This window comes from Homo sapiens, chromosome 6, assembly GCF_000001405.40.
Source record: "Homo sapiens chromosome 6, GRCh38.p14 Primary Assembly".
Taxonomy (NCBI): Eukaryota; Metazoa; Chordata; class Mammalia; order Primates; family Hominidae; genus Homo; species Homo sapiens.
In genome coordinates, this window is record NC_000006.12 from 139,955,277 (window position 1) to 139,969,078 (window position 13,802).

Genomic DNA, 13,802 nt, shown 5'->3' on the forward strand with positions numbered 1-13,802 from the left:
TAAATTCCCTGTCTAATAATTTCAACATCTGTGTGTCACATTTGAGTCTAGTTCTGATGCTTGTTTTGTCTCTTCAGAATTTTTTTTCTTGTCTTCTGGGGCACCTTGCAATTTATTTTGAAAACCAGACATTTTATATTGGGTAATAATAAAAGAAATGTATGGATTTATGTTATGTATGAGAAATTGGGCTGTGCTTAATGTTTGCTATAGCTGTTGTTGCCAGAGTTTCAAATTATCGTAGTATGCTTGTTTTAGTCTCCTGTTGACTTTGGACTGTCCTAAGTACTCCCCATCAGAGAAAGTTTGTGTCTTACAACTCTTCCAGCCTTAATCTGCTGTTATCATACTGAGGCCTTGTTAGTGTGATGGTAAGGTGGAACATTTGATTACCTTAAGGTTAAGTCTCAGTCTTTTAGAATGCTTGTGTCTTGGTGCTGTGATATTCACAAATGTTTCCCCAGTGGTATATCTGCCCTCTCCCCCTGACATCACCTGCTTACTTTTCTGGCTATAGCATTCCCAGTCTATTTGTTTGAAGCCCTCACCCCTGTTAACTATGTTTTTTACCCCCTTAGGTGAGCCAGAAAGACTGACGAGAACTGGAGTGGGAGGAATTCCCTTCCCTAAGCAAACATAAAGCTCTGGGCTCTGGAAATGTTCCAGGTAAACAGATCTCAGCTGTGCTTTTCTGTATGTACCTATTGCCCCAGATTTTGAGGTGATCCCTGTTTGCCCTGCAATCTCAGTTCTCCAATGATCAAAGGTCATTTATTTTCAGTATTTTCAGCTTATTTTTTGTAATAATGTAAGTGACAACATCCAGTCTGTTTGTGTGTCAGAGCTGGGGCTGGAAGTCCACAGATTCAGAGTAGCCTTATTCATAATTTTCAAACATGGAAACAGCCAAAATATCCCTTCACATTTGAGCAGATAAACAAGTCTTGGTAATTCCATTGAATGGAATATTACCCAGCAATAAAACATCCAACAACATTTTTATAAGTGAAAGGAATCAGACACAAAAAAGTATACTGTGTATGATTTTATTTGCATACAATTCAAGAACAGACAAAAATAATTTATTGTGATAGAAAGCAGATCAGTGGATATCTGGGGCAAAGAATAGCAGAACTGATTGCAAAGGTGCAGTAGGGAACTTCTTGAAGCAATGAAAAATCTTGATTGTGGTCACGTTTATATGTATATAGATATTTGTTAACATTTTCAAACTGTACACATATAGTTGATACACTTTATGTTATATAAATAATACCTTAATAAAGTTGATTTTAATTTTTGAAAATGTAACTAAAAATGGTGCTTTTGACCGGGCGTGGTAATCCTAGCCATTTGGGAGGCCGAGGCGGGAGGATTGCCTGAACTCAGGAGTTCGAAACCAGCCTGGGCAACACCGTGAAACTCCATCTCTACTAAAAATATTTAAAAAACAATTAGTTGGGCATGGCAGCATGTGCCTGTAGTCACAGCTACTCAGGAGGCTGAGGCAGGAGAATCGCTTGAACCCAGGAGGCAGAGGTTGCAGTGAGCCTAGATCGTGCCACCGCACTCCAGCCTAGGCAACAGAGTGAGACTCCGTCTCCAAAGGAAAAAAAAAAAAAAAGGTGCTTTTATACGGTAACAGTAAACAATTTGAAAATAATATTTTAAAATTTATTGCTCACAGTATCTTCTAAAACACACCAAATATCTAGGAATAAATTTTACTGAAGGAGTGAAATAGTTCTACATTAAAATCTATAAAACTAAAGTGCCTTAATAAATGGAGGGGTATTCTATATTCAGAAATTGGATGGCTTCCTATTGTAAAGATAACAATTCTCTCCAAATGCATCTATAGACTCACTACAGCTCCAATAAAAATCTTAGCAGGTAATTTTGGAGGAGTTGAGAAATGTATTATAAAATTCACAATAAAATGCAAAGAGGAAAAGAAGAGTAGCTTAGTCTTGAGGAAGAGTAAGATGAAAGTTAGAGAGCTTACATGACTTGATATCAAGCTTTATAGAGTTAAAATACTCAGTACAGTGTGGTGTGGAATTGATCAAAGAAAAAGACTTCCACATAGTTACCTAATGTATAACAAACTTTCCATGGCAATACAATGCAAAAAAGGATGTTCTTTTAAATAAGAGGTGTAGTTATCAACTAGATATCTACATAGGGAAATATTTCATACCCTAAAATTACTTCCATACCAGTTGTAGATCTATTTGTTTACATAAATCAATAGAACTCCTAGAAGAAAAATTTTTTTAAAAACCCTCTTAATTTAGGATGAGGCAATGAGTTTCAATTGAGGACAAAAAGGACCCCCCTGAAACATTATGAAGGAAATATTGAGCAGTAGAAGTGTATCCAAACAAATCATTAGGAATATGAAAAGGTAAACCACAAAGAATCTATTTGCAATAGATATTTCCAATAAAGCACTTGCATACAGAACATATTAAGAAATTTAAAATAACAAAGATTAAAAAATCAGACAACTTAATTAAGAATCACCAAAAAATTCAAGAAGTGTTTTACATAAAAGGACAACCTGTTGACCAAGAAGCATATAAATAGCTCTTCAACATCATCAGTCATCAGAGAAATGCAAATAATAACCATTCTGAGAATCCAATACCTACTCTTTGGAACAACTAAAATTTAACAAAGAAACAAAAGCCCTGGCAATACCAAATATAAGCAAACACATAGAGAAATTGAAACTCTAATACATGATTGGAGTTTAAATTGGTACAACTACTTTGGATAACTCCTTGAAATTATTTACTAAGGTAAATTATAATTATATCCTACAACTTAGCATTTTCACTTCTCAATATATTTCTAACATAAATGTGTCCATATGTACAGAAAAATATATGTACAATGATGTTGATGGCTATTTTATTGCTAATAGCTGAAAACTGGGCTTAGCAAAAATATCCACTTAGCAGTTGAGTGAGTGAAAATTTTTGGTATAGTCACACAATGGGAATATGCTACATGGATTTATCTCAATGGATAATATGGTACAAATGAAGTCAGTCACACAAAAATGCATATTGTGTGATTTCATTCACATAAAGATTAAAAGCAGACCTAAATCTTTGTGATAAACATCAGAATAGTGGTTACTTCTTAGGAAGGCAGAATGAGGGAGATTTCTTTGATTCTGGTAATATTCTATTGCTTCATTTAGGTGTTGGTTACAGTGAGATATTCACTTAATAAAAATTTCTCAGGTTGTGCATTTAAGATTTATATACTTATATTTCAATTAAAAAGTTTACAAAAATATAATTTCCAAGATAGATATATGCACAAAATGTTAAGGGGGATAAAGAATCTAAGAGTCGGGTAGGAGAAGAGAGAGGGGCTTGAGAATGAGATTATTGATGTGGGCAGAAATCCAAAGAAATCATCCTAAAGACTTCTACTAACATTGATTTCCTGTGTAGAAGAGTCATTTAAAAATCCTTACACAGAACAGGATGAATAAAATTGGAAATTATTATTTTGTTATCATAGAAAGTTGATATTTTCAGAGAGCTGCCAGCAATGATTTTTTTCTGCATGATCTTGGGCATCCATAGTAGTCCAGAACTTGTGAATAATATTTTTGAGAAATGCCTTTATGGGTCTACCAAAAGCTGTACATTTAACTCCCATCCATTGACTTAATCTAACCAAACTTCTTTATTGCTACATCCTTGCCTTTTTCCAACATGAAAAGATTCAGTGTAGTTCCCAGCTTTGAGATTTGAGTACGTGCCTTTCAAATTAAAGGCATAATATTTCGTCTAAGTCTTCTTTCCTTTCTAAGGAAAACAGTATAATTAGATCAATACCAATGTTACCACTTATTTACAACATGTTTACCTCCAAAGTCCAGCTTGATTTCTTTCTCTTCCATATGTTTTCCTCTTGACTACTGCAACTCATTTAAAAACAGAGTGTGAGAAACTAAGTCTCTATGGAGTATTCGAGTTCATAATGTTGAGATGTTAACAGATCTCCATCTTCTTTAAACTTCTACGGCACTTAAGATTTTTACTTTATGAATTAGCATTTACTTCTTATATATTTCAGGGTACTTAATTTTGATTGTGTTAAAAAATAACCAGAATATCTCAGTGCCTTCACACAAAATTGTCTTTCTCACTCATGTCACAGTTTAATGCAAATCTAGGACTTTCCTTCAAAGAACTCCTAACCACACCGGGCGCGGTGGCTCACGCCTGTAATCCCAGCACTTTGGGAGGCCGAGGCGGACAGATCACCTGAGGTCAGGAGTTCCAGACCAGCCTGGCCAACATGGTGAAACCCCGTCTCCACTTAAAATACAAAAATTAGCCGGGCGTGATGGCTGGCACCTGTAATCCCAGCTGCTTGGGAGGCTGAGGCAGGAGAATCACTTGGACCTGGGAGGCGGAGGTTGCAGTGAGCCGAGATAGCGCCATTGCACTCCAGCCTGGGCAACAAGAGTGAAACTCCATCTCAAAAAAAAAAAAACCAAAAAACAAACAAAAACACTTTGGGAGGCCCAGGCGGGCAGATCACGAGGTCAGGAGATCAAGACCATCCTGGCTAACACGGTGAAATCGCGTCTCTACTAAAAATACAAAAAATTAGCCGGGCGTGGTGGCGGGCACCTGTACTCCCAGCTACTCGGGAGGCTGAGGCAGGAGAACGGCATGAACCCGGGAGGCGAAGCTTGCAGTGAGCCGAGATCAAGCCACTGCACTCCAGCCTGGGCGACAGAGAGAGACTCCATCTCAAAAAAAAAAAAACCTCCTAACAGTCACAACTTATAACAAAAGAGTATGTTTTATTTTCCCATGTGAGCCTATTTTCATTTCACCTTTTACAAAATGGCTGCACATATGATATGAATAATATATGAATGTATCTTTATCTGTTCCTTTCCTCTCCTCCTGCGTCTTTTCTCTCACAGTCCTTTAAGCTACCATCCTTCCTTTAAATTATACTTACTTTCTACAAGTTTTTTTTTTCAAATTCAAGTTTTTCGTGATCAATTATTTTTAAAGACCTCTTAGTGGTACAGATGAATGTAAACAAAATACATTTATTTAAACAACAGACAGGAGATAATTAGCTACTGTGTACAGGTGGTAATGACAGACTTTTGGAAGAATATAGCAAATAGCAGTTTGTGGAAATTAGTTTTCTTTCAGCTAGAATGATTTGACAATCTTTGCCAGAACATGCAAAAATTTTATGAGAGCTAAGTGAAATACTAGCCAATTCTTGCATATTTGCATATCTGACAGCTCCTATTTTCAGATTTTATTGATGAAATTAAGTACACTAAACAATAAAGTACTTTGGATTTTTTTTCTTTCTAATTTTCACTTGACTTTTTTTTTCTCTCAAAGCTCCAGCAACGAGTAAGGAAAGCATTTGTTATAATTCTGAGAAAGTATGAAAGTAGGGCTCAACCAGGCTGGTGCTCTATTACCATATGTCTTGGAGGTCCACCTGTCTCTAGAATACTCATGGACAAGGAAGATTCTGAACAATGGAATAAAATGGGTAATGTGGAACATTTGTTTTTCCTTAGTCAGACTGCCTCAGGGTGCTTGCATTATTCAGGGTGTGAATTTCTGTTACTTCTCACAGTATTTATGTATCAGTGTTTAGGTATAGTTACCCAAAACATTTCAAAGGCAAATGAGAATTACTTCGAAGGAATTGTGCATTAGCCCCACCAATCTATGCTCCATTAATTCAATTGCTTTGTATGAGGGTCTGTGTATTGTAAACCAAACTCCAGTTTCAGATTTTCCTGAAGGAATGCAATCTGTCAAAAATCCTGTTTGTGTTTTACCCAAGGTCAAGAACATGATCTCAAGAGAAGGTATTACAAACAACTGGGGCAGTAATAATGACCTCATGTTATTTTTTTAAACCTAATAAAATCTTATAGATTAATAAAGATTCACAGCTTTCGTGGCATTTCCACGTCCATTTTTTAAAAAATTATATAGAAAAGGAAACAGATTTGTAAACACTAAGTGCATTGCCCAAGGTCACTCAACTATTAAACTGTAGAACACAAGTCTTTTGGCTCCTAGTCCTGTGTTTATTCTAGTACATTAAACAGTAGCTTGAAGAAATAGAGAGACAGAGGGAGAGTGAGAGGAAGGGAGAAGGCAATAAAAGGAAGAGATAAAAGGAAGAAGGAAATATACAAAAATTTCCATTTGCAGTATTAGATCTATTTGGAACAGACTATGCTTTCTTACTCATCAAATCATTTTAGCATCAAAACAATTCTAGAAGTTAAATCACTTACATAAGAAGAACTGGAGGCTTAGAGAGGTAAAATAACTAAGCCAGATTATATGGCGAGTAATTGACAGAGCTGAATTAACACTCAGGTCTTTTGATTAAGTCTAATGCTATTAAATGCTGTCTTGTTAGCATAGCCTAGCATAATATGTATGTGTGGGTATAGGCATATAAGCCCTCCTAGATATCTATAGGCAGGAGAATGATGACAATGAATGTTTATTTGAAGAATTTATAAATGTCTGTGCAAATATTAGAAATAATATCCTAAAAATGTATACATTCTTTTTTAGTACATTACCTAATATTTAGCCTTACAGGTGATTAGAATGTCATTTATTCATCTTTTCAGCCCTCATTTAACTCATGTTAGGCTACAATGCATAAGCCCATTAAAAATGATTCATTACAGATTCTTCCCACAAACTTATAGTCTAATAGAGGAGCTGAAATGTCCACAGAAATTAATATAAATACAAAGTGCTAATGGTCCTAAAAAAGATATGCCTTAGATAATCAAAGATAATAATGCTTGAGTGTTTGTTAAGTTTGGGGATGATTAGTAAATAACTGACTTTAAAGCCACTCCTGATGTCATGTTCTGTAAACTGAACAATAAGAATGGAGAAAAGAGGACAAACATGAGACATTTTTGAAGTGGAATCAAGGAGTTCAGATACTGAATATGAGTGACATGGAAGAGGAACTGGTCTAGGATGATGGTAAAGTCCTGAATCTGAGTGCCCAAGAGAATGCAGAGAAACACAAAGGAAACATACATTTAGATGGAAGAGTAAGAGATTTGTTTTGAGACAGATTGTATTGTATACTAATCAGAAAACCAGATGACATTGAATCAATAACACTTATATTTAATATTACATGTTTTAAAAACAATTTTCCCAATCTTCCATCAGAGACTCTGACTCAAGACGTCGCTGTAATCTTGGAGTTCTTATCACCGTTCTTCTATTGCTTTTTGAGTTTTTTTCAATTCTATCACTGCAATGTCTCATATCGGTTCCTTTCTCTTTTTTCCAAATACTCCCAGAGTATATTCTAGGTTGCGGGTACAACGAGGTATAGATATGCATACCTGGCTTTTACTATCTGGCTATTTCTCAACCATCAGTTTGCAAGGACTCTAGCTCCACCCATCACAATTTCCTCCTTTCTCTGATATCTTGCAGTCTAGTCTGCTTTGTAAGCAGCTCCCAGTGGTATTGCTGTCACTTTGTCACTGTTTTAGGCTGATGCTGTACTATTCCCCAGGGCCACTGTGATCACTTGGCAAGTTATTCAAGGACACATTCTAGTTACTTTTGCTTTGGCCACTACTTGAAGCAGTGCTGTTACACTCTAAATAGGATTGCTTCTGTAAACGGATCACAACAATCTGGTTCAACTTTTATGTAACAAAGTTGTGACTTGTTTTTCAGTTGTCATGGACCCCGCAGGTTGAAGGTCACATAACCTGAGCATGCCCAGATGAACCAAGTGTGCAACCACAGGGGCAACATAAGTGCTCAGACCAAGGAGGGGAGACTGAATTAAGAAGCCCCATTCTGCCACCCCATGGCAAGATACAGCATCCAATCAGACTGAGCTGTGAAATGACTCCATGGCAGGATCCAGTCAGATCATGCCTCCCAGCATCACCTCATTGTAAGATCCAATCAGATCGCACTTCATTACCTTATGCTTATAAAAGTCGATTCAAACCCCAGCTCAGGGAGACACATTTGAGCATTTTCTCCTGTCTCCTTGCCAGTTGACTCATAGTAAAGCTTTTCTTTTCTCGAAAGCTGGTGCCATGGCATTGGTCTCTATGCACATTGGGCAACAACCCATTGATTGCTTGGTAACACTTTACTGTCCCTCCGTAAACAGGTGGGGGCATTGGCTCTGTCTCTGCTATGGTAGACTCTTTCAAAAGGGTCTCCACTGCAATGTAGCTTGGGCCTCAAAGTGTTATTACTTTTGTTAAACTTCACTCATACTCAGTTTTACACCCCACAGGGCCTTATATAATTCAGGGTGGGCAGCTATTTGTACTCTCTGCCTTGCCATCTTCAAACCCCATTCCAGAATCTGACTCAATGTGCTAGACCTCTTTATTTTTCATGAGCTTGCTCCCTGGAGCCTCATAGAAACTCCCTTCCCTTTTTCCTCATCTTCCACATTAGGCATTTGGCTTCTGTTAGATTCCTTGTAGTCAAATAAACAAAACAAGGCTGAACCCCAATTGTTGATACAGTTGAAATTCTTTTCTAAGGATGGTGCTTAACCTTCACAAGAAGAAGTAAGATTGGATTGGAATTAAGTCATGTCTGCTCATCAATGTCCCATATTCAATCTTCTTAGGGTTAATGGGGATAACTTTTTATAACTTACTAACTAAATCTAGAAGAAAAATATCACTTAAAATGCTGCCACCCTGAATTGATTTTTAGCACTTGTTCTCTGTTATATCTTGTTTCATGTTTAGAAAAATTGAATTAATTTGTCTGTTTTAAAAATATATTTCTCTCTCTCTGTGTATATGTGTATATATATATATGTATTTGAAATAAATTGAGACATGACTGTTTTTCAGTTATCTTTGTTGAAAGTCAAAAGGCTATAACTAGTCTTCCCTAATGAAGTCCCATTAAAAAGCCAGTAACAGCTATGAGAGTGAAGTCTAAGTACCAGGGAAGAATTAAGAAGCCCTTCTTGAACTTGCTCTAAACCTCATTCCCTTTTCAGTGGCTGAAATAATTACACTTCTCTTCTATTCAAAGTGTCTCTAACTGGAGGGGTAGAAAATAGACTGGGGCAAAAGCAGAAAGTGAACCTGAGCTAGTCTAAAATTTATTTTAGTTTAAAAACATCTTGTAAGCTTACTCTCTGCCATATAAGTATTTTTAAAAATAAAATAAACAATTTAAATAATATTAAAATACTTCACTTTTATCTCCCAGCAAAGTCTGTGATCCAGGCAATTTGACCTATATTGATGCCAAAGCTTCAGACATCTTCTGAGGTCCAGGAACTTTAGTTTGAAAGTAATTTTAGATAACCCATAGGAAAAGGTCTGCCAATGAAGGAGGACTCAGCAATATTTCCACATTTACCTATTTTGATACTTTTCCTCCGGGATATTCTTCCTTTTTTTCTTCTTGTACTTGGCCTTTTTACTCGATTTTCTCTTGCCTTTAACCCTTTAGAAATGTATTTTTATCTCTTATTGTATAGCCGCTATTTCTATCCTCAACTTTTGCTACTCCTTAGTCAAAGCTTTTCTTTTCTAATAATTTGAGTTTCCCTTTGCTCCAGCCATTAACTTTTGCTGACTCCTTAGTTTTCAGATTAGACTCCTCTCCGCCACTCATGAAACCTATTGTGAGTTAAGTTTGCTTTAATGAAACTCCTGTGGCTTTTGTGTCCCGGGATAAATCTAAGGAAATAATGGAAAGCCTAAGAATTCCTTCACTATGACTACTTTAATGATAGTGAAAGCAATTTCTACCTGAGCATCAGGGTCGAGGGAAAATATTTTTAAACTGAGTGCTTTCCTACAAGTCACATTTGACATCAAATCATTTGTTACCTTTCCTGAAGTTGAAGGCCTTGGCTTTATAGACATTTTTTTTTTCTAACAAATATTTGGACATTCCAGCATTCACACTGATGAATTGTCTAGTGGCTGTACTAGTTAAAGAGAGACACCAAATTCAACATTTTAACCCATAAGGGGACTTTGATGTAAGTTCTCTAGTACATTTCAGCAGAAATAACCATATTGAACAGAATCTGTCAATTGACAAGACCTAGCAGAAAGACTGGCTGTAGAAGAGCAGCAAATTGGTATCTAAAGAACATTGCTCTTGTTCAGTGTGCAGTGTTTATAAAAATATTATCAGCAGAGCACATTTTTAATCTAGTGAAAATTTGGCAGCACCACTGAAATCCTTTCTAGCAGAGCATTCAGAATGACTTTAAATAAACAGAGCCAGCAGCCAGGAAATGCAAACTTCAGCAGATTTACTGCAGTAAGTGATAGCTACCAAAAGGCTCTTATCCCTGGTTGGAGTTAAATAATTTACTCTTCACTACCATTAAATGTTTTAAAATTATCTCTGTGCATTTATGTGTGTGTGTTTATTTCAGTATAATTATTGCTTCTTGCCACTCTTGATGTTAAATCCTGAAAATGGATCATGGTTCTCCCTAGGTTATTAGTATACAATTTACCCTGCAGTGAACTGCCCACTTCCAGAGTGTCTTTAACTAATTAGCAACCAGACATCACTAAATACAAATGTTAGAATGGAACCCTTAACTCGAAGGCTTCTGTAAGCATATATGTAAAGCTTTGTTTTATTACTTTAGGTCAAGTTTAATAGCAAATTCTAACAGCTGGACTGTTCCACATATTTCTGAGTAGCCCATTTTTGTATTTTCTTGTTCATATATTTTTGCTCTTAATTTATTTTTTAATGAAAATTAGAAACATAAAATATCCTTTCACATTTTTTCCACCTATACAGAAATTTAACTCTTTTTCTACCTTTCCTTATAAAGACACTTAGGTATTTATCTTACACAGAAATAATGCCAAAATCTTGTATTTCAAATCATATTTCAGTTTTATTTATCCAACTTTTGTTCAACAGACTGAAATCTACTAGGCAATGAAGTATAGCTTTCACATGCATGTTGGGTATTTGATGGGTTAATATATTTGAAGCACATGCAACACTCCCTGGCATGTAGTTCATGCTATACACATGTGTGATGCTATTACTACTGTTCTTGTTATTTCATAAGCAAGGCCCAATGAGATGAAATCATTTACCCAATGTGATATGTCCATTAGGAGCATCTAGTTAGTATTTGATTCAAAGTTTTTACTTGTGATACCTGCTATTGTATTCTGCTTCTCCTATCTTGTTGTGAGGTTATGGCAAGTAAGTACAATTATATCTATTTTACAGATGAAGGAATCAGCTCTGAGGAGTTAAATGACTAGTTAGAATTCTTGAGCTTCTAAATCAACAGGTTTGGACAATAGCTTTGCATTTGAATGTCCAGCCCCGTGCTCTCACTATGATACCAGAAATAGGCATATAAAAGGATAAATTTCAGCCTGTATAATTGCTGAAATAGAACTGAGTTTTAGGCTTGACATGTGTACATTGGTTATGTTTATTATTTTAAAATTCACTGCTTAAAAATGCAAAGCTCAAAGTATAATTAAGTATGGTGGGTATTGTTACCTCTTAGCAATATTGCCCACATTAACAGTGAAGGTTTATTTCCCATATTCTCAGATCCCAGAAATGCTTGTGTGTGAATCAGAGCATACTGGTTAATCTCTTTTATATTGATGGAATGCAATGATACTTGTACTTAAAGTATAGTAATAGATTTATACCGAATGATAGTTTTAGTTTCAAGAAAGGAGACCAGTTGTTTGTTTAATAATTGAACTCTATAACTGCAAAATTCACCATCTACACATATTGTGTGAAGTACTTAGCATACTGGATTTACTTAGTCTGACTGCATAAGAGATGTACCTGTACACATTAGAAAATGTATACTTCTAGGCCTTAGAATCTGTAATGGTGGAAAATTTAAGATATGGTTTTAATTTTTATGGCTTAAACAATCAATTTCCCTCTTCTGAGAACTGAAACTCAGGCTTTTTTATCTTCTAGTCAAATTTATTTTCAGGTTTCACATGCTGGCAGAATGTTGTAAAAATTTATTATGCCCTATCAATATGATAAACATCCTGATTTTTATTATTTGTTATACCCTCCCTAAAATTCCCATACTATTCCATTAAAATAAAACTCCATATTTTGGCATTAAATTAAGTTGTCATAATTCTTCTTTCAAGTGTGAAATCACACTGGGTTGCTTTATCTTTTTAATTAAGTGTTAATCAATAGACTTGTATTCTATTTGAACTGTTATAGAAGTTTCTCTGAAGATACTAACATAACTGCTTATTTGCATTCCCCAGAAACACTGTTTTTTAATGGTCAACAGTGGCCATGTTTGACTGAGCAATGGATTCATATTGATGTGAGCAACCAAATATGTTTTATTAGGTCATTTCTAAAGGAAGTGGTGATTCAATCTCTTGAAAAAGTAAGAAAAAAAGTTCTCTTCATAATGCCAAGCAATTGGTAAATGATGCTTTTTCCTCTGATGGCATATTTCTTTCACTGAGTGTGTTCAATTAATGTTTACCTGCTATCATTTAGACATAACCATGTGCTTTTTGAAAAACTGGATTGCTAATGCAAGAATATGCTTTTGCATTATAATTTAGCAACCATAATGCCAAAAAGTAAGACAAAACATGATGTCTGAGTTTTCAGCACTGATTATTACTTCCCTCAATGTTTTCTTCTAGGAACAACTGTCTGACGGTACCAATAAAAATTGCTAAAAAGCTCACAATTCCATACCTTACATAAAGTCATACTGTCTTTACCATATCCTCCTTCTCCTCTACATTGCTTTGTCACCTTTTTCTGGGGCAATTTAAAAAAACTTCTAAGATCCTTGACTCTCTTACACGCCCACATGAATCATACCGAGCATGTTAAATGTTCTTTTCCCCCACGTAATATAAAACTGATACATAACTGCCGTATACTTATAAAATACAGTTGACTAGAGGACATAATTTGTAAACCCTATGTATCTTAAAATTTGGTTTTCCAGTTTTCTTTTCATGTTTGTGTTCAATGCATTTTATGTGCGAACTTCAGATATTCCTAATGACCCTTAAAAAGTTTTAGGGCCCTTGCCCATGGGTCAGTGATGCTAATAATCATCTTTTTTCTTTGCTCTTCTGCCTCTGCTTTACATTTTAGACTCATTTTGCTATCATTTCCATAGGTCTTTTCTTCATTGTCATTTTCATGATCTCCTGCTCCTTCCCACTCCTCCAAAAATAATCTATTTTTTGACACCTGTATCTTCCCAAATCTCCACTGCTTGTCACTTCTTTGGGGACATACTTCTTTTATCTCTCTTTCCAGTTGTATTTTCTCATTTATCAGTATGTGTAAATTATGTACTCTCAGGTATCAGTGTACATGAAGTGCAATCTATATACTTCCTTGGAGAACCATTGTCCTAATGATAGGGGTTTCTTCTCAGGCAAATATATCACCAGTAAATATCTTCTAAACACTTTGTCTATTTCACGTTGTGGTTAATATTTGCTGATATCTATTCTAAATTTAACTATTTTTTCCATTCTCATTCAATAAATCAGCAAATAGGCCTTTCGGGCATTATGCATTTTACTAAGTTTGTAAGTATAAATTAAAACTGTTTAAAATAGAGTGTGTATTAGTTTGCTATGGTTGCCAAAACAAAATACCATAGACTGAGTGACTTAAACAGCAGAATTTTTTTTCTTATGGTTTTGGAGCCTGGAATTCTGAGATCAAGGTGTCGGCATGATT

The 13,802-nt window shown here is 35.5% G+C and overlaps 1 annotated feature.

The window, feature by feature from the left end:
- Positions 476-770: a silencer, noted in NCBI's record as "tiled region #3903; K562 Repressive non-DNase unmatched - State 23:Low". NCBI's record gives its function as "represses a minimal TATA promoter and a strong SV40 promoter by Sharpr-MPRA in K562 cells {active_cell/tissue: K562}" and the evidence as "EXISTENCE:reporter gene assay evidence [ECO:0000049][PMID:27701403]".